This window comes from Homo sapiens, chromosome 4 (assembly GCF_000001405.40).
Source record: "Homo sapiens chromosome 4, GRCh38.p14 Primary Assembly".
NCBI lineage: Eukaryota > Metazoa > Chordata > Mammalia > Primates > Hominidae > Homo > Homo sapiens.
Window position 1 is genome coordinate 65,865,810 of NC_000004.12, and position 20,997 is coordinate 65,886,806.

Genomic DNA, 20,997 nt, shown 5'->3' on the forward strand with positions numbered 1-20,997 from the left:
AATTCCACCATAATCTAGATGATTCGATCCAATCTAGACCCTACCTTACTCCCTAATCACATACCGTATTCCCTCCATGGCTCTCATGGCTCAAAGCAGCTTAATGTACTTCAAGTACAACAACCTTTTTCAGTGTTCTTCTTTCCACTGCCTGGAATATTTTCCTCTGGATCTTTGCATTGATATTCCCTCACATTATTTATCTCTGCTTAGAGATCACCTCTTTGATAAATGCTCTATCAAAATAGCCCTGCTCATCACACATTATCTCTTTACCCTAAGCAATGTTGTATATTTAAGTTTACTTGTTTATTGCCAGAATGATTCTCCCAGCACCTAAGTTACATTTGGGCAAAGGGTCTACTTTCACTAACTTATACCCAGAGATTAAAGAGGCAAATAATATGTTCATAACACATATTTATTGAAGGAATAGATCAATGAATATTTGAACAAATAAATGATATGTAATATAACAACTATTTACCTGTTATATTTTCACTGTATTTTTACATAAGTTTTTTTGTTTTTCATTTTTCCATCTAATTAATAAAAATAAGGGTTGCACCTCATTTTAATAATCTATAGCATATCACTTTTATAAACTGGTAATTATTGATTCAGGTTTTAATTGAATTAGAAAATTGCAAAGCAACGTTTTTCATCTGATTTCCCATCATGACAGCTTGATATGTTTTTATCTTTTTTATAAAGTATTTTTTAAAAATATTGATATGGTCAATTTGAAATTGCTCGGTTTCCCACTAATTATTTCTTGCTACTGGTGCAGCGAAATGGATGATATATGTGTGCTTCCCAGACTAACATAGGTATTCAGGCATATACAATATAGCACTTCCTAATGCATCCATTTGTTGTGCTGTGTTAAGATAGCAAACAGAGGCTACAGCTACCAGGCCCTTGAAGGTTTTCTCTCGTTTCACTTAACAGCTTTATGTAGGTGCCTGAATACTGGCATCTGGACAATATGTCCCCAAATGAGCTCAGTGTTGCTTTATTAGCATGGTAGAAATAAATTTGAACTGGTGATTTCTTGTGTCCATTTGGTTTTAGTTTTAGTTTAGCTTAGTTTTGCATTTTATACACACTTGCATTAGTGCTACTATATATACCATATCCAAAGTAATACATTCTTATGATGCCTAAGTATTTATTTTACTTAAGAAACATGGGTCTGAATAATAGCATTATAAAACACTGGTGAATTAATGAACACATATTTATTTAGATAAATAAAATGTATTCAAACAAATAACTATTTGCTATCTATTTGTCTTTTTAAAAATATACCAGGGATTACAGGTTGAGTATTCCTTTTCTGAAATGCTTGGAACCAGAGAGTTTCAGATTTTTAAATATTTCCATATATGTAATGAGATATCTTGTAGATAGGACCCAAGTCTGAACACAAAATTCATGTATGTTTTATATATACCTTATACATATAGTCTGCAGGTAATTTCATGCAACATTTTAAATAATTTTGTGCATGAAACAAAATTTGTGTACATTTAATGGAAACATTAAAAAGTAAAGGTGTCACTGCCTCAGCTACCTGTGTGAACAATCTGTAGTTGTCTGGCATTACCATTATTTCTGACTCTGAAATTATATGCTACTGATAAATAACCATTTTCTTTTTTTTTTTTTTTTTTTTTTTTGAGACAGAGTCTTGCTCTGTCGCCCAGGCTGGAGTGCAGTGTCGCAATCTCAGCTCACTGCAAGCTCCGCCTCCCAGGTTCACGCCATTCTCCTGCCTCAGCCTCCCTAGTAGCTGGGACTACAGGCGCCCGCCACCACGCCCGGCTAATTTTTGTATTTTTAGTAGAGACAGGGTTTCACCGTGTTCGCCAGAATGGTCTCCATCTCCTGACCTCGTGATCTGCCCGCCTCGGCCTCCCAAAGTGCTCAGATTACAGGCGTGAGCCACCGCCGCCCGGCCGATAAGTAACCATCTTCTTACACTAAGTCACACACAGTATTTAATAGTAAAAAAAAAAAAACAACATACCGTTCATGCAGTGAAAAAATAATGTGTCAGCGCAACTAAGCAGCACCGTAGCATCACTACAATAACAGTATCAGCTTTAAATAACAGCAACAAGAAACAATGGCAGGCTTTCAGTCTTCCCCTATGATGCTGTGCTCTGATTAAAAGGTTACTGTACCGCACATTTTAATTTTTTAGGTGAGGAAACATCAGAAGCCATTGAGGGACCGGGAAATAGGTCCCTAGGGATGAAGAGGCATTCCACTGGGTGGCTTTTTAAATGTTTCCTCTAGAGTCATCTGCCTCACTAACAATGGTTTTTGTCCAAGAAGTATCTCTTTGCATAATGGGGAAGCTGCTGTGGGCAGGTCCAGCCTGCACAGGTGCCATTATATTACCCTCTGCGGGTCTGCTTGCCTGTGGGCATGTGGGAGAATCTGGGAATGCACTGAAAAAATATATCACAGCTAAAGAGAGCTGAGAAGGCCTTTTACCTGGTGACAGTGAATGAATTCTGTGTTGTGTATCCGCATTTTGACTGTGACTCACCACAAGAGGTTAGGTGTGGAATTTTTCCCTTATGATGTAATATAGGTGCTCAAAAAGTTTCAAATTTTGGAGAATTTTGGATTTTGGACTTCCATATTAGGGATGCTTGACCTGTATAGGTTAAGTGCTTACAGGTCTTATTTCACTTAATCGTGAAAACAACCCTACAGAATGGGTATAGCTATCTTTATTTTATAGGTGAGGTGAGTAGGCCTGAGAAAATTTAGATAACTTTGGCCAATTTACACAGCTGATGAATAACAGAGCCAGGCTATGAACTCATGAATGACTGAAAGCCCGTAGGGTGCTCCCTGTCACCACTGTGTAGTCTTGGAAAAATCACTTAGCTTCTCTGAGCCCAGGGTTACACATCAATAAAATGCAATATTTTTTATCTTTCTTAACTATTCCTGTATAAGGCTGGGCACTAGAAATCTTGTCCAGCATAGGCTTCTTCCCCTAGCTTGAATCTTATGCAATGTTGTGTTACCTTTCCTTTTTTTGTGTGTTTAGGAACATAATAAAGAAACAATTTCAACACTTAAAAACTAAGAAAACTTTAAAAATAAGTGATTTATTACATTTAACTAAAAATATTCTCAGAAAACTAAAGGAATACAACATGTATCAGGTAGGAGAGACCACTTTACGGCTTTCACCATTCACATTCCTCTTGGAGTATTTTGCCGCCTTTGATGACCTGTCATTCTGCATAGAGAAGAATATAACATGGGGAAAAGGATTCTGAAGGTGAAGTGACAGAAGGTACCTGCATAGTCCCTAATCTGAATAACTTCATGAATTTTTGTTGTTTCTTTGTTTCTGAAAGTTTCTGAAGCATTGGGAAGCTGCCATCTAAAATGACCAGTTGCACATTTGTCAGGTTAAATATGTTATATGATGGATTATCCAATTGCTAGTAAGCAAGAAAGGGGCAAAGAAGTCAGTGATTGGGCCCATTTCATGTATGGTTTCCATTGTTATGTTGATTGACAACTCAAATAAAAATGGATGTTTAGATTAAAACTTCAGTTCAAAGGACTGAAATGTTAAAACAAAAACTCTCCTATCTACCTGTAAAGAAACAACTGAAGCAAGCTTGGGTGTCAAACTAGGAAATGGTAAGGACTGTAGTGAACTGAAGTGCATACAGCCTGCCAAATCAGCCACAAATAATTTCCAACTGATTTTTGTCAGAAAAGAATGTGGGTACAGATTTGCCAAATCTTTTTATTGTTCAAGAGAAAGCAAGAATTTGAATATTAATCCAAACATTAATCTGAGTTATTTTAATTTTCAAAGGCTAGTCACAAATTAAAATATTGTGAAAAATATTGTAGAATAATAAAAAAGGAAAGAAAGAAATTACATCCAGTAAAAATTCAGTCTTCTGGTCACTAACTTGAAAATGCTGGGGTAAAGAATAAAATCTTCTGTCCCTCAATTTTACTAAGATATTTTTTCAGTGTTTATTTGGATAAATAACTGTAGCCATTTATCCAAATCAAAGCCTAATATATTGGCTCAAAGTTGTACAGCAACTTGGGGTTTTAGGATGACGTGTATAACACTGTAAGGCTGGGTATGCCTGCAGAACCTAAATATATGCAACATATCTTGTGGACCTGTATATTAATGTACCTGGATTTTGTAAGAATTAAAGAAGATAGTAATTTTAAATCAGCTATTAAATTTATTGTAGGAGAAGCTAGATATATAGAAGTTGCTATAGTATTTTTATAGTCATTTACTAAAGTATTATAATTATTAACTAACAAAGTCATTGTATTGAGTACTTAAAAAAATCAAATCCTACCTAGAAGACAGGAAGAACAGTTATTATTTTGATCTGTACTTTATCAGATGAAGAAAGAGAGACTTAGGATGTGTGGAAGAAAGATGAGGGAGATACAGAAAGACAGACAGACAGACAGACACAAACATACATACGAGAGAGAGAGATTTACTCAAGATTAAAAAGAATTAGACTTTGATCTAGATTATCTGATTCAAGGATTCAGACATTGTTGAAATATTCTTGTGTCAGCTCTGACATGTAAAAAGCTAGGAAATTCTCACTTCCATTTTTGCAAAAAAAAAAAAGCTGAATAAAGTAGAAATCAACAACTTTTCAGAGATCAGTCACAGAAGTCAGGTTGCAGGGCAAACCACCAGTGTGAATTTGGAGAGAGAATGAAGTCAGATCCACAACTGAGATCTGCTTATTGGTAGCAGAAGCCACTGAAGCCAAAACTTAGATGTAATTTTGATGGACTTCTGGAGGCTATGCATATGCTAGCATGAGAGTAAGAAACTCCTGGAGTCCTCACACTAAGGGAGTATCCCAGATACGATTTTTACCCTTCAAAAACCTCAAAGCACCTCATGACAAAGATTAAAGGAATAAAAATAATATTAGAATATGATAGTAATGAAAAATAAAAAAATAATGTGGTAGAAGGTAACAGGAACTGTTCAAATGAAAATTTTTTATAAAGAATGTCCTAGAGATATTAGAAACAAGAGTTTAAGAATGAAACACTTGACATGGAAGTACTGCAGATTTTTTTGCAATGTAAAGTCAAATCTATAACCACAGAGTGGTTGAGATAGTGTGCAGGACATTCAGTAAGAAGAATCTTTTATATGATAACAAAATTACCCAAATTTATGATAAAGGTAGTATTGGAGAGTGGGACAGTATTTCAGAACACAAATCTTCATAGAATGAAGGGAGATACTTGACATTAGATGACTGTATGTACTAAAAATATTAGAAATATTAAAATAAATGAGCTAAGCATTCAACTTAAGAAGTGCATATGAAGACGGTCAATATCCAGAGAAATATTACACAAATCCGAACCTTTTTATAATCATTCAACACACACACACACACACACCATCACACATAAAGTATGATGTTACCAAGATTTAAAGAAATTTGAACTTACATACACTGCTTATGTGCCTGCAAAGCAACATAACCTCTTTGGAGACAAATTTTATTGTAGCTAATCAGTATGACCATGTCTTGTCAGACAGGCCCAGCAATTCCACATGTAAGAATTGTTCCAAGAGCTGCATTTCCCATACTACCTTGGACTTAAAAGTTGGGTGGTCAATTAAAAATAAAGACATGGAATCAACCTAAATGCCCATCAGTGATACATTGGATAAACTAAATGTGTTATATATACATGATGGATTACCATGCAGTCATAAAAACAAGAACGTCTTTTGCAGGGACATAGAAGGAGTTGGAAAATATCCTTAACAAACTAACACAGAAACAGAAAAACAAAAACTGCATGTTCTCACTTCTAAGTGGGAACTGAACGATGAGAACACGTGAACACACAGAGGGCAGCAACAGACATTGGAAAATACCAGAGTGGAGGGTGGGAGGAGAGAGACGATAGGGGAAAATAACTAATGGGTACTAGGCTTAATACCTGGGTGAAGAAATAATCTGTACAACAAACCCCCATGACAGAAGTTTACCTATGAAACAAACCTGTATTTGTACCCTTGAACTCAAAAGTAAAAAGAAAATCAAAACAAAACAAAAAACCAGATGCTTAAAATGTAAAACAAAACAAAACCAAAACCAAAAATCTACCCAGGCTTCTCTAGGGAGGGTCCTGGGAAAAGGTTGTTAGTATTTAAGAATTGGCTGGGCATGGTAAATCACATCTGTAATTCCGGCACTTTGGGAGGCTGAGCCGGGCAGATCACTTGAGGTCATGAGTTCAAGACCAGCCTGGCCAACTTAGTGAAACCCTGTCTCTACCAAATACCAAAATTAGCCGGGCATGGTGGCAGGTGCCCATAATCCCAACTGCTCGAGAGGCTGAGGCTTGAGAATCCCTTGATCCCGGGAGGTGGAGGTTGCAGTGAGCTGAGATTGTGCCACTGCATTGCAGCCTGGGGGACAGAGTGAAACCCTGTCTCAAAATAATAATAATAATAATGGCATTCAAGAACTAAGTAAAAATAAAGTGATTCTTACCACTCAGGCCCCACTACCATAGAGAAACCCCAGCACATAGGAAAAATGAGAATGCTAAGAATATTTATTGACAAAAAAAAGTTCATCACAATAAGAAAGTATCAACTGAAATATATGTAAAAAAATAAGTACATAAATAGTGGCACATTTATATGATGGATTATATAAAGTTCTCAAAGTGAACAGGTAGATATAACATAAAGGAGTGAATCTCAAAAACAAAATATAGAACCAAAATAAGAAAGACTACATGTTCACAAAATGTGATAACAAGAAACATGTCAAATAACACTATGTTTTTCCTATAGATGTGTATACAGATAAAAAATTAGAAATTCTCACCGTATTCCACATATTCCAGATAGTGTTTATCATGTCTGGGGTATGTTACAAAGAAAAATGGCAATGGAAACAACCCATAGAGTTTCAAATCTACCTAAAATATTTTTAGTTCTTTAAATATATCTGAAGCAAATATGGCAAATTATTAATACTTTATGAAGATGTACAATATTTAAAATTTTAAGTTTATATACTTTATATTAAATTATAGTTTATTTCTACATAATTATATTTGGACAACTTTATTCACTTTTAAAATTGATTAAATAAGATAACTAAAAATTATCTGTATGGACAATAGCCACAAATAGAGCATATACTCCATGACAGTGATAGTTTTCATCCTTTGCTACAAGGAACACTTTCCATATAGTTTTAATACTTTGTTATCCAAATATAAAAATTAAATAAAGCTGGGTGCTGTGGCTCACGCCTGTAATCCCAGCACTTTGGGAAGCCGAGAGGAGGGGATCACGAGGTCAGGAGATGGAGACCATCCTTGCTAACATGGTGAAACCCCGTCTCTACTAAAAAAAAAAAAAAAAAAATTGAAAAATTAGCTGGGCTTGGTGGCAGGTGCCTGTAGTCCCAGCTACTTGGGAGGCTGAGGGAGAGAGTGGTGTGAACCGGGGAGGCGGAACTTGCAGTGAGCCAAGATCGCGCCACTGCACTGCGGCCTGGGTGACGGAGAGAGACTCGGTCTCAAAAAACAAAACAAACAAACAAAAAATCAAATAAATAACTTGTTAATTATGGTTAGTCTATAAAATGGTTGTTTGACTTGTAGACTAAAATAAACATTATAAAATAGGTTCTACCCATAAATCAATAAGCAATCAAAAGCTTGCTATATATGTTTTTAGATTACAGAAAATAAGGTTCAGTGTTTAGAGGAAAACTGACTACACAATAAATAATATCATATTTATTTTTAAAAAGAGTTAAAAAATTTTTTTCTGCGTAAGTGTTGCCAGAGGGAATTTTTATGACAATTCTTGTACTTTGGATCCAACTGTATGCATCTACTTTTCTGTTAACTTGAGGTTCTTGAAGGCCAGGGTTATTTCCTTTATTTTTGTTACTCCAGAAGCTGCACCTCAGACTGAAACATCCTAGTGGCCCTATAAAGGCGCAAATTGAAGCCATCTCAGATGCAATAAGGGGGAGGAAAGACAAATAAAACAATAACAATTCACAATAAAATCCCCTGATTAGCTCCGTAGGCTCTGTCTTTACACTGATATTAGCACAAGATCACAACCAAATATAAAAAGAGCCTTCTGCTATTTAAAAAATCCAGGTTATCATTGTCCTTAAAAGTATTTTTAGGCTATCTTTATTATACTTCAATATATACTCCACACAATATGTGACATGTCTGTTCTTTCCAGAAAATTTAAATCTACAAATGGCACTAAAAGGAGAAACATTAAAAAATAAATTCCTTGATAAAAAGAAGAAAAATGGAGGACAAGAACTTCCAGACCACAAATGGAAAAAAGTAAGTGAAGTTCTTGAGATTAAATTGCTTTTTCTTATTAATTAAAAACATCGTCTCTGTGTCAGAGTAAATTTTCTCAGTGCGGAGAGATGCATGTTTAGTGATGTTTTAGGAATTTCACACACAGAATATTTAATCACAAATAGACACTTTATTCAAGGATACAGTTGGGATTGTATAAAAAGGCAACTAAATTTCTATAGAGTTTGCTATTAAGACTATAAAATTTGATGTTCTCTTACTATAGGTATTGCAGCACTAAATATTACTTACTTTTGAGTATGCTTTTACTTTCTTCTGTCCAGTAGGTAATGTGCTCTATTAAGAGATAGTCTTTTATCATCTGCTTCCAAAATAAATAGTTAACACTCTCTGCAGTGCAGGTGTTCAACATTGTAAACCATTTCTAGCCAATAGTAGTAAAAAATAATGAATTTTTTTGACAAGCTTAAAAATTATCTTTTCAGAATGATTTCCTGAAGGCATATCTTTGGGTAATATGAAAGTAAAATCTAAAAATATTTTTGATTACCTGGCATATATGCTTCAACAGTAGATTTATATTACAGAAAATCCTTATTTTTCTTTAAAAATTGTGAGCAATGTATATATACGTTTTGGCTGATCTCAATATTCTAAATTTTGAAACAAATCTCAGAGCATATCATAAAAAATCATAACTAAATCTAAATGAAGGCTTGCTGATATATCACCTAATTTCCTTAACAAGATGGTAAACAAAATGCCCTTTTGTCTGAAAGATGTTAGATGGATTAGGGATGGTTGATATGTGAAATGTCTCATCCTGTTCTAAGATAGTTTGCTGATTTCCGTTTGATTCAGTTTCTATATGTATTTGATCTCAGTATAGACTTATTGTATTGATAAGTTATGTTCACATTGAATGACTTCTTACTTTTCTCAGGTATTAATATATGCAATATTGATGCCAGTGTGTGTGTGTGTGTGTGTGTGTGTGTGTGTGTGTGTGTGTGTTTTCTACATAGCCGACTGCTGTTCTTTAATTTTTTTTTCTATGAATGAAGAGGCCCTGAGACATTGATTATAGCTAGTTCTTACACTTTACAATGCTACAATGCTGTTTGTCAAGTTGACTTGCTTCAGAGAAAAGCCTAGACAGACTAAAAAATCCCATTTATGTTAATCCAAATAACATAGTTGGGAGCAACTCAGGGTCTGTGTTTTGTTTTGATGCAATAGATATTTTAAAACTCCATGATATTATAGAGATAACAACCCACAGTGACACTACTCCATGAATAGGGCATGAGACATTCTAAAGTTACGTCATCTCAAAATGAAATAATTTTGAACTTAACTTTTCATTTCTTTTGGTAGGTAGTTCCATATTAGACCTGTTTTCTGTCAAATATTATTTTATACATTATTACATTGCAGTCAGTTTTACATAAGCAGTCAGTTTTACATAAACACACAGACACACACACCAAAAACCTGACTATGTTAGAAATAATCCTTTACCATTCCTTCTGAAACTATTTCAATCAATAGAAAAAGAGGGAATCCTCCCTAACTCATTTTATGAGGCCAGCATCATCCTGATACCAAAGCCTGGCAGAGACACAACAAAAAAAAGAGAATTTTAGACCAATATCCGTGATGAACATCGATGCAAAAATCCTCAATAAAATACTGGCAAAACGAATCCAGCAGCACATCAAAAAGCTTATCCACCATGATCAAGTGGGCTTCATCCCTGGGATGCAAGGCTGGTTCAACATATGCAAATCAATAAATGTAATCCAGCATATAAACAGAACCAAAGACAAAAACCACATGATTATCTCAATAGATGCAGAAAAGGCCTTTGACAAAATTCAACAGCTCTTCATGCTAAACACTCTCAAAAAATTCGGTATTGATGGGACGTATCTCAAAATAATAAGAGCTATTTATGACAAACCCACAGCCAATATCATACTGAATGGGCAAAAACTGGAAGCATCCTCTTTGAAAACTGGCACAAGACAGGGATGCCCTCTCTCACCACTCCTATTCAACATAGTGTTGGAAGTTCTGGCCAGGGCAATTAGGCAGGAGAAGGAAATAAAGGGTATTCAATTAGGAAAAGAGGAAGTCAAATTGTCCCTGTTTGCAGATTACATGATTGTATATTTAGAAAACCCCATCGTCTCAGCCCAAAATCTCCTTAAGCTGATAGGCAACTTCAGTAAAGTCTCAGGATAAAAACTCAATGTGCAAAAATAACAAGCATTCTTATACACCAATAACAGACAGAGAGCCAAATCATGAGTGAACTCCCATTCACAATTGCTTCAAAGAGAATAAAATACCTAGGAATCCAACTTACAAGGGATTGGAAGGACCTCTTCAAGGAGAACTACAAACCACTGCCCAACGAAATAAAAGAGGATACAAACAAATGGAAGAACATTCCATGCTCATGCATAGGAAGAATCAATCTCATAAAAATGGCCATACTGCCCAAGGTATTTTATAGATTCAATGCCATCCCCATCAAGCTACCAATGGCTTTCTTCACAGAATTGGAAAAAACTACTTTAAAGTTCATATGGAACCAAAACAGGGCTCGCATTGCCAAGACAATCCTAAGCCAAAAGAACAAAGCTGGAGGCATCACACTACCTGACTTCAAACCATACTATAAGGCTACAGTAACCAAAACAGCATGGTACTGGTACCAAGAACAGATATATAGACCAATGCAACAGAACAGAGCCCTCAGAAATAATACCACACATCTACAACCATCTGATCTTTGACAAACCTGTCAAAAACAAGAAATGGGGAAAGGATTCCCTATTTAACAAATGGTGCTGGGAAAACTGACTAGCCATATGTAGAAAGCTGAAACTGGATCCCTTCCTTACACTGTATACAAAAATTAATTCAAGATGGATTAAAGACTTAAATGTTAGACCCAAAACCATAAAAACCCTAGAAGAAAACCTAGGCAATACCATTCAGGGCATAGGCATGGGCAAGGACTTCATGTCTAAAACACCAAAAGCAATGGCAACAAAAGCCAAAATTGACAAATAGGATCTAATTAAACTAAAGAGCTTCTGCACAGCAAAAGAAACTGCCATCAAAGTGAACAGGCAACCTACAGAATGGGAGAAAATTTTTGCAATCTACTCATCTGACAAAGGGCTAATATCCAGAACCTACAAAGAATTCAAACAAATTTACAAGATAAAAACAAACAACACCATCAACAAGCAGGCAAAGGATATGAACAGAGACTTCTCAAAAGGAGACATTTATGCAGCCAACAGACACATGAAAAAATGCTCATCATCACTGGCCATCAGAGAAATGCAAATCAAAACCACAATGAGATAACATCTCACACCAGTTAGAATGGCAATCATTAAAAAGTTAGGAAACAACAGGTGCTGGAGAGGATGTGGAGAAATAGGAACACTTTTACACTCTTGGTGGTACTGTAAACTGCTTCAACCATTGTGGAAGACAGTGTGGCGATTCCTCAGGGATCTAGAACTAGAAATACCATTTGACCCAGCCATCCCATTACTGGGTATATACCCAAAGGATTATAAATCATGCTGCTATAAAGACACATGCACACGTATGTTTATTGTGGCACTATTCACAATAACAAAGACTTGGAACCAACCCAAATGTCCATCAAAGATAGACTGCATCAAGAAAATGTGGCACATATACACCATGGAATACTATGCAGCCATAAAAAAGGATGAGTTCATGTCCTTTGCAGGGACGTGGATGAAGCTGGAAACCATCACTCTCAGCAAACTATTGCAAGGACAGAAAACCAAACACCACATGTTCTCACTCATATATGGGAACTGAACAATGAGAACACTTAGACACAGGAAGGGGAACATCACACACCAGGTTGTGGGGTGGGGGGAGGGGGGAGGGATAACATTAGGAGATATACCTAATGTAAACAACAAGTTGATGGGTGCAGCCCACCAACATGGCACATGTATACATATGTAACAAACCTGCACATTGTGCACATGTACCCGAGAACTTAAAGTATAAAAAAAAAGAAATGTCATCATAGCACAAGATAGAGTCTCTATTTCCCAGTCTCTGTAGGATGGTAGAGACCCAAACTCAGGAGGCAAGCACCTTGCTTTAAGTTATAAAATTAATTTTTCCTTTGGGTAATGTCAAAGGAAACAGAGATAGCCTGTGATCCTTTTAATCCCAGCTCCTAAAAATTTTCCTGCCCTTTGTATCAGCAGAGTTGAGCTCAGACTGAGTTCTGATCTCTCTCTCAGAGATCAGAAGATTGCACCAGACTTGAATAAATCTTCCTTGCTTGTTTATTTTGGTACAATGCAATTTTTGCTTTGACAGTTTTCATTGTAATTTTTTATGGTGTTTTCTAAGAACCTAGAATAGTGCTTGCCTACCTATTAGGTACTAAAAGGTAGTTATTGAATGAGGGAATGAGTAAATGAATTATTTTTCTTTTTTCTAGTGGCCAGATTTCGAACTTGTTGACACAAGACTTTCTAAAGAATTCTTTCCTTCAATCTTCAAATCCTAAAATATTCAAAATGGTAATTGCTTAATCAGTCTCAGAGCAAAACCGTTGGCTTATGGAGGGTAAATGGATAGCACGAATAATAAGTTATTGATTTTGGAAGCCACTGAGATTTGGGGGTTATTTGTTATTATAGCATAACTTTGCATATCCTGATTGTATTGGGCCTCTAAAATCACGTTGTAGAAGGAAATTATGGAAAATTAAAATAAAAAATTGATGAAAAAAATATTGCTCAAAGAAGTAACTAAAACGTACGTTTTCAAATCAAGGAATCACATAAGGATATGTTTTCTACAATAAAGATAAATCTAAAAATAATTCTTTAGAAGATCATTATATTTGTTTGTAAATTTCCCCTTGACTACATTACTAATATATGTGTAAGAATGGAGCATAAGAATATATCTGCATGGTTAGAAGGATTGGGACCATAATATCAACATTTTAACCAAATTTTTACAGAATTTTCAAAAGCCATATGAGGAAATGGTAAATAAAAATAAATGCATGCTTTTTACATGGACAGCATTATAATAATTTAAAGTCATTTATTTTAGTTCTGAGTCTACCAATGTCTAGTAAATTACGGGTCAAAAAATGTTTATAAATGTAATTAAAATTTTCGAGGCATCATGTGCTTATGAATACAAAAGAAGTCACATCAGCAGTAGAACCTGACTTTGACTGGCTTATTACTTCTGCTTTTTAATTGAAAGGACTCCCTTGTTATTGAGAGAGTACTTGAAGAGATCTTATGAATGCAGAAATTCCACAATGCCTACATTGCTCCTCTCAGCAGCATCAATATTCTGCTGCTCCACACCAGTCCCGTCTGGTGCTGACCTGCTTTGTGTTGCTTCACCAGATGTGAAGGTTGCTGCCATTATTATATTAAAGAACATTATTCTGCCCCTTGATGCAGAAATGTTCTGTGCTAATGACCTCCAAGAGCCTCAAAATGGCAATTCTGAGCACTGCTCTGAAAGTCAGAAAATGGTCCTCCTCATGTCGTGTTAATGACATGCTTTTTAGGTCTTGTGATTTTTTGCACATTTCAGTAGCACATCTATTTTGATTTTGCTCACAGCATGTTCAAGACTAGATTCAGGTGTATTATAACTGAAATTTTCTTTAAAGTACTTTGTAGACATATGCGTGTCACATATGTTTTATCTATACCTTTTCAATAGTTTTAACATTGAACTTCCTTAAACTAACCCGAAGCTCACATTCCAGAAGGAACTATGAACAGACTTTAGCACTCTTTATCTCTGATCAAGCATGGGTATTACTAATTAACATAATGGATGCTAGAAATTATTTTACAGGTTTAAAGATTGGTATTCAAAACGTAGGAATTGAGTAACTTTTCTTGGAAAAAAATATAGCCAATGCTCTTTGGAATGAGTCTGTTAAATTAGGATTCAGGGCAATCCCGTGTACAAATGATTATCGAAGAATTCTGCCTCCTGACTCTGAGTTTAAGTTTGGATGTATGGTGCCTGAAGAATACTGATGCGCTTGCCTCTAGTGAAACTTTTATTCTAGACGCTCTCAGAACACCTAAAATGATAGGGAGTTGAGGCTTTGCTGAGATTACAGAACAGTTCGTTTGACTGTTTCTGTGCCTGTTTACTAATAAATGTATGTACAGCAGAATTCAGTCTGTAACTTGGTTCCATTGAACATAACTAGAAAAGGGAAGGGGATGGGCAAATAGGGTGAGTGCCTACATGGTCCTCATGTACATTTTACAATTCAAGGCTAAAAATGTTTTCTAGTAAGATTTCCAGTAATCCTTAATGTTGAAATTAATAATGGAAATAGTACAGGTCAGTTTGCACAAGGTAACAGCCAACAAACACAGTTCTACATCTCTCAAGAGCTTTGATGCTGAATCTCACTTGTGGTGCCCAATTTCTTATTCTCCTAGAATGAATTATAACAAGGTCAGTTGCACAATATGCATGTAAATTAACCAAAGGTGGCACAATTGACAAATGCATACTTCAACATATATTCAGTGATGTCTGCATTTCCAACTGGACAGCTTGATTGTGTTCTTCTAGTTCCTCTGTACACACTCAAACCATTTATAAGAGGCCTGTTCCGCCACTTTTCCACTTGGGTCCAGGCATAGCCAAACTCCTAAGAGAATAAGGTCATATCTTCACCATATATGACAAATCTATACACAATAAAATATGAATTACATGTGATTCAAAACACAGTATTTTTTTCAGTGTGAGATTAAGCTACAGACAATTTAGGGGTATCACCAGTCAGACTCCTAGGAAATACTGGTGCTTGTCAGTTTTGATATCTTAGGATCTGAGCTAATTTCAGTCAATTTAATTGAAAATGAAGTGTTTTGGGCATTTTTGCTCTCATAAGAGTCATCTGGGTTAGTTAATAGGCAAATAAACAAAACAAAACAATTTATTTTTCTAAAAGTCTTGTTTCTTCATCTGTGTGAACACAGAAAAACTTCCTCCCCAATGTTGGTGCCAAGGTTCTATCTTGAACTGTTAGATAAAACACAGGATGCCAGTTAAATTTGAATTTCAGATACACAACAAACAATATTTTAGTATAAGTATGTATGATGAAATGATGGAGATATATTTAAGAATTGCTTTTCATCAAAAATCCAAATTTAAGTGGATTTTCTGTATTTTTATTTGTTAAATCTGGCAATGCAGATTATATAAATACACACACATATACACATACACACAGAATTATAGATTTAGACAATTTAGGGACTAAAAAATGATCTATAATGAAGCAAGTGGTCTTTTATATATCTTTCTAATCTGTATACATTGAGGACTTGTTTATTCTCCTGAAAATTCTGCAGATACATGGCACATATAGCCCTTACCCAACTGCACTTTCCATGGATCTTTTAGTTTAAGAATACTTTGACTTCAAAAGCCAATAAATAATCAGAAATAAATCCTTCTCCTGGGCACAAATGTGAACTAAACTCTAAGCTGACTGATTTGGAGAGCTCAGCTTCCCATCAGCTAGCAAGTCTTTACTTTCAATTACTTTTTTTTTGCATTCTCTTTCTGTATACAGCATTTTAGGCCCTTTGCTCTTAATCTTGTTAACTGAATTAGTCACAATAACTGATTTTTCATTTTACTTTTCTGGCTTTTATCTGTTAGATAAACTGCAAATATAGACTGTCTGCAAAAGAAAATGCTTCTATGTGCTGTACTCCATCTTTTTCTAGTGCCTCTCTACTCTCTTTCCTTCGCAAATGTGAGATATTCTGTATTCTCACCAATTGTGTTAGGGACCAAAAGAGCCTCAGTGCATTTCTTTATAACAGGTTATAAAGTTTTAGACACCTTTCTCTAAGGAACTCAGTAAACATTACTAACATTATCTAGTTAGTTCTCACAGCATACATGTAAGGCTTAGTTATCCGACTCTTGTAGCTTCTGAATGATGAAATGACCATAAGGTCACGAAGCACATTATCAGAACTTCTCAAATTGTTAAAAGGAGCTCATAGAACTTCTGATAGTTCCTCTAACCGTTCTCTCATTTAAAATCTAGACATGTCTTTTTTCTGAGTTCTTCCCACAGGTTTCTCCTTTTCATAGCCCTAATTCATGCTCCCGGATTATTTATTTTTTAAATAAATAAATATCACTGTGACGTGCTATTTTTAAATAAATATATCACAGTGGCAACAAGGACTGCACTTTATAGGTTCTTGGTAAACTGTGCTACTATGTGGGCAAGTTGTACAAACTTTCTGAGCCTCAGTTATTTCAAATGTGAAAAGTACTTTTTTTTTCTGAGTTGTGATAGGAATGTACAGTGCTGAATATAAAGCACTAGATATAGTTTCCACTGATTAGAAGGCTGTTGGTAATCTTCGTTGTTATTAGGTGTATATCCTTCTAAATTTTACCAAAGAAATTTATGTGTAAGAAAAAACATGGCAGAACAACATATTTAGGTTTGAATTTGGGGTACATTATTTACTCTTATAAAATCTTAGTTTTTTCATCTGTAAAATAATTGAGATAGCAATCATATCTTGCACTTGTAAAAATTAAATTGCATAAAATTTGAAGATGTGTCCAGCATGGTGTGGATAGATGGGCAATAAATTAATGTTAGTGAAAATATTAAAGAGGAGAATATCTTTAGAAAATTTTAGTGTCGGGCCCTTTAAAGCTTTTACTGGCCTGCAAACTTACTTATAGATATTTTGAGCATACCAATTAGTAAACACAAATAATCGTTTTTGTTATTAGCACTTCTTAATTATATGATTTATGTATTTTAAAAATAGTGATTATTTGTGGAACAAAATGCAATTCTCTGGAAAATCTTAAGGTCCTGAAAAGTTATGTTCTAATTTCAACATAAAGAAGTATGTTCTAAAATAAAATGGGTTCATGCTTTCATCAGTTTCTCCAATCTGTCTGGTCTTTGGAAACTAACCTATTTGATCATATAACACACTATACCTGGGGCTATTTATAAGTTTAGTAATGTTAATTTCCTATGCTTACTTCTAGGGGTCATCTTTAAGATTTTGTTCTGACTGCTTATTTTAGTGTTCACTACAATATTTTACATATTACAACTACACATAAAGACAATAAATACCACTTCCATTTTGACCTGTCACCTTGGATTTTCCATTTTGGTTTTAAAAATTAAAATTAGTTTTTATTGTTATCCCAAATTATGACTTACTATCTTTCTCTGAATTTAGAGTTTGTGTTTCATAATTCATATGAGAATGTGATGGTCAAACCACCATTTAAATAAAAATAAAAAATTAACTTGAAACTCAGGCAAAAAAAGAAATGGCATATCATATTTATTTCTGCTTTACAAAATTTAATTTATTAATTATTCATTGTCTTTTAAAGTGATAGAAACTGAATTTTAAAATTAAATTGAAAGTATTTGAATATTATAGAGCAGTTTGTTTTTTTGCATTTTTTTCCTAGCCATTTCTAAACACTCTAAACTTCCCGTACTCTTTTAGTAAGATTTTTATGTATAATAAAATTTTAGGAAAGCTATAAATTTTATATTTGAATAGCATCAGTCATGCTTTAAATTGACCCAATGGAGTGGTTTTACATCATAAACATGAATGATAAGAGAAAATTCTACTCAACTTAAGTATATGAAAGATGTTTTTAAATCACACCCTTCACTGAAGTTATTGGTTTAAACCTTAAACTCAACCTCAATAAAGATGCGAGCGTGGGCTCAATCATGCCTACAGTTATTCATGCAAAAACCCTATGGAAATCAACTACTTATTGCTTAGAGTTTTGTATGACTTTTTGAGAGTAGAAATTGGCTAATTCCTGTTTAAATCACTCCAGTCTTAACTTGGAATGTGATAGGAAAATTTGTACCTCTCCTTGGGAAAATAAAATTGAAAATTAGTTAAAATGGAAAATCTTCCTTTTACTCCCTCACATCTTCTGCTGAACTATCTTCTTGAACATATAAATGACTTTATTCTGCACTAACCTAAATTGGTGGCAAACACCCTAATTATAAATTTATTTGGCTGGTATTGAATGCCTATAAATTAAATATAATCTTCTATAGGCCATAGACAGACCTTGTATAAATTAGATTATTCAGTCAGAAATAGAAGGTATGTAATTCTGAGTGTATTTTCTCTCACATGATATGAAATGTAGTAAACCAATTTCTCTGGCTACTCTAACTTGGCAATGTCCATACAATTATCACAGAACTCAACCTTAAGGGGCTTCAAGGACACACAGATGCATCACCAAATCTCCCCTACATGGCTGAGGCACACGTTCCCTCAGCTGACGGGAGTGCTGGCTGCAAAACCACATCACATATTGTCTCTGGATTACCCTCAGAGGAAAGGAGATGCCACCCTAAAGTTTATGGCCTTTTTCTGGGGCAGCTCATATCCAGTGACTATTTGATGAAAGAGGTACAAAACCTGGTTCATTTACCTGAATTTGAGAGAAATCTATAGGCCACCCTAGCTCCAGGGTTTGCCAGTGGATCATCTGAGCCTTCTGTTGAAACACTTCATAGTTCAGCTTCTCCCTCTGCTTAATCCTGCTTCCCTTACCTTATGTTGGGTGTAGACCCTGAGTGCATTCTCAAACTTGGTCCTGGGTACACAAACAATGGCAGAGTAGGGTGTACCTCCATGAAGAACTGGGGATTCACTCTTTCTCTGTGGCATTATCAGGAGTATATTCTTCAAAATGCTTGGTGATTAATTTATTAGTAAACCTATGCAATTTATTAGTAAACTTCTAGGTTCAAATGATTATTCCTTTCAGTCAACAAACTCAGGCCAGGCCTTTCTAGTGTGGCCTACTCCTTACTATTCATGGTTCAGTAATGTTTGTCTCGTGCTTTAAAAGTTCTGAAAAGTAAAATACCTGTGTCCTATATTTGGGAAGATACATAAGTGAATAAAAGCATCCAGTCATTAACTCATTTATTCATGTAAGATATATACTATTTCTGCCCCTATTTAGCAGATAAAGAAACTAAAGCGCATACTACTTTAATTTACCCAAAGTCATGCAGCTCATAAGTGGATAAGCTGAGATTTAAACCCCAACTGTCTTGCCATGAAGAATTCAGGAAAGGAGAAGGAAATTTAAAAGTGTGGATGTGGATGTTGAATTATGTAAAATATATTTAAGCAACAACATGTTCAATGGTTCTGTGGAATATGTGGCTGGAAAAGTACATTGATGACAAAGCACACGGCCAAGACATTTGGTTTTTACTCTATGTGAGTGCAGTCAATGACTAAATTGTTTTGGAAAGTAAACTGAGAGGATAACCAGGGTGTGTAAGAAAAGAATATTTAATTTTTTCATAGCGATTATTTTAGAAATTGGCTGAACCTAGAAATCCTTTAACATCTAATAAGTTCTGTTGTAGCATGCTTTAACTCTTCCTTCCTCTCTTTCATTTCTAGGTTAATGAGGGCTCCTCTGAATAGAGGAAAGATGCCTCATTTGAGCCTTTTATTTGGGTGCATTAATTACTTTAATGGTAGTAAATATAAATTTTAAAGGTAGAGAAATGAGGCTTTTCTTAATTAAATAACTCATTTAGGGGTATATTTATTCTAGGGTGGCTATTCTTCCTGAACAGGGGACTACCTAAGAATGAATGGCCTGCTGAAAAGAATCAAGTACCATGAAACTGAATATTAAAGAAAATATTTAGCAAATAAATATCTTCAAGGAAAATATGTGAAGATTATGATTGATTTATATTTTCAAATTTTTTATAACAGACATGTTCTAACAAAGGCATTGCAATGAAAACCTGAATGGAAGATTGGTCTCCTTATGGGAAACTCATGAGAACCTTGTGGAGTATAAATTAAAATGAAATATAATTTTTACTACTGTAGAATATGTCATTTTATTCTTTCTTCTATTTTTCTACTTTAATGATTTCACTAATTTTTCTTTCTTATCTGAAAGTGACCATTACATTTTCATCTAAAAGTGTCAATGTCCCAAAAGTGATTGATAGTAAAAATGAAAATAAATACACATATAAACTAATAAAAAATCATAACAAGCCACATTTGTGGTAAAAATAAATAAAAATTGATTGCTCTTGCCCTTAAACTCACTTAACTTTCTTTAATTATGAAGTATTACACAAAAATACAATTCTTCTTTATTTTAACTATGAACACAAAAAATAATTCACGCATAATTGTTTGAATATTCTCTTGAAGCAAAGGATTTGAAAATATATCATAAACATTGAGTTAAATGCTGCAGCTGGATACTTGGATATGTACCAGATTCTCTCAATTTCCACTAATGAGTGTGTCATTACTTTCTGTTTATTATAATAATAATCTCCTTTCAATACACCATAGAATATATAATAGAGCCAAAATTTTTAACATATGAAAATGCCTAACCTTATGTATCTCTTTCTGTCCCTTCTAACTTTTATTGCTCTATATGTTTTAA

The 20,997-nt window shown here is 34.6% G+C and overlaps 1 long non-coding RNA gene across 7 annotated transcripts; it reads left to right on the forward strand.

Moving 5' to 3' along the window:
- The first annotated feature begins 2,666 nt into the window (after window positions 1-2,666).
- Window positions 2,667-20,375, forward strand: LOC105377259 (uncharacterized). 7 transcript variants are annotated; one of them, XR_938834.2, is made up of 4 exons: window positions 2,667-2,763; window positions 3,164-3,325; window positions 8,306-8,415; window positions 12,920-13,214. It is a non-coding gene; the product is annotated as an uncharacterized LOC105377259 (long non-coding RNA). The 7 variants fall into 7 exon arrangements; XR_938838.2 differs by having other exon boundaries at window positions 3,192-3,325; XR_938836.2 differs by having other exon boundaries at window positions 2,667-2,758.
- Window positions 20,376-20,997: the final 622 nt, after the last annotated feature.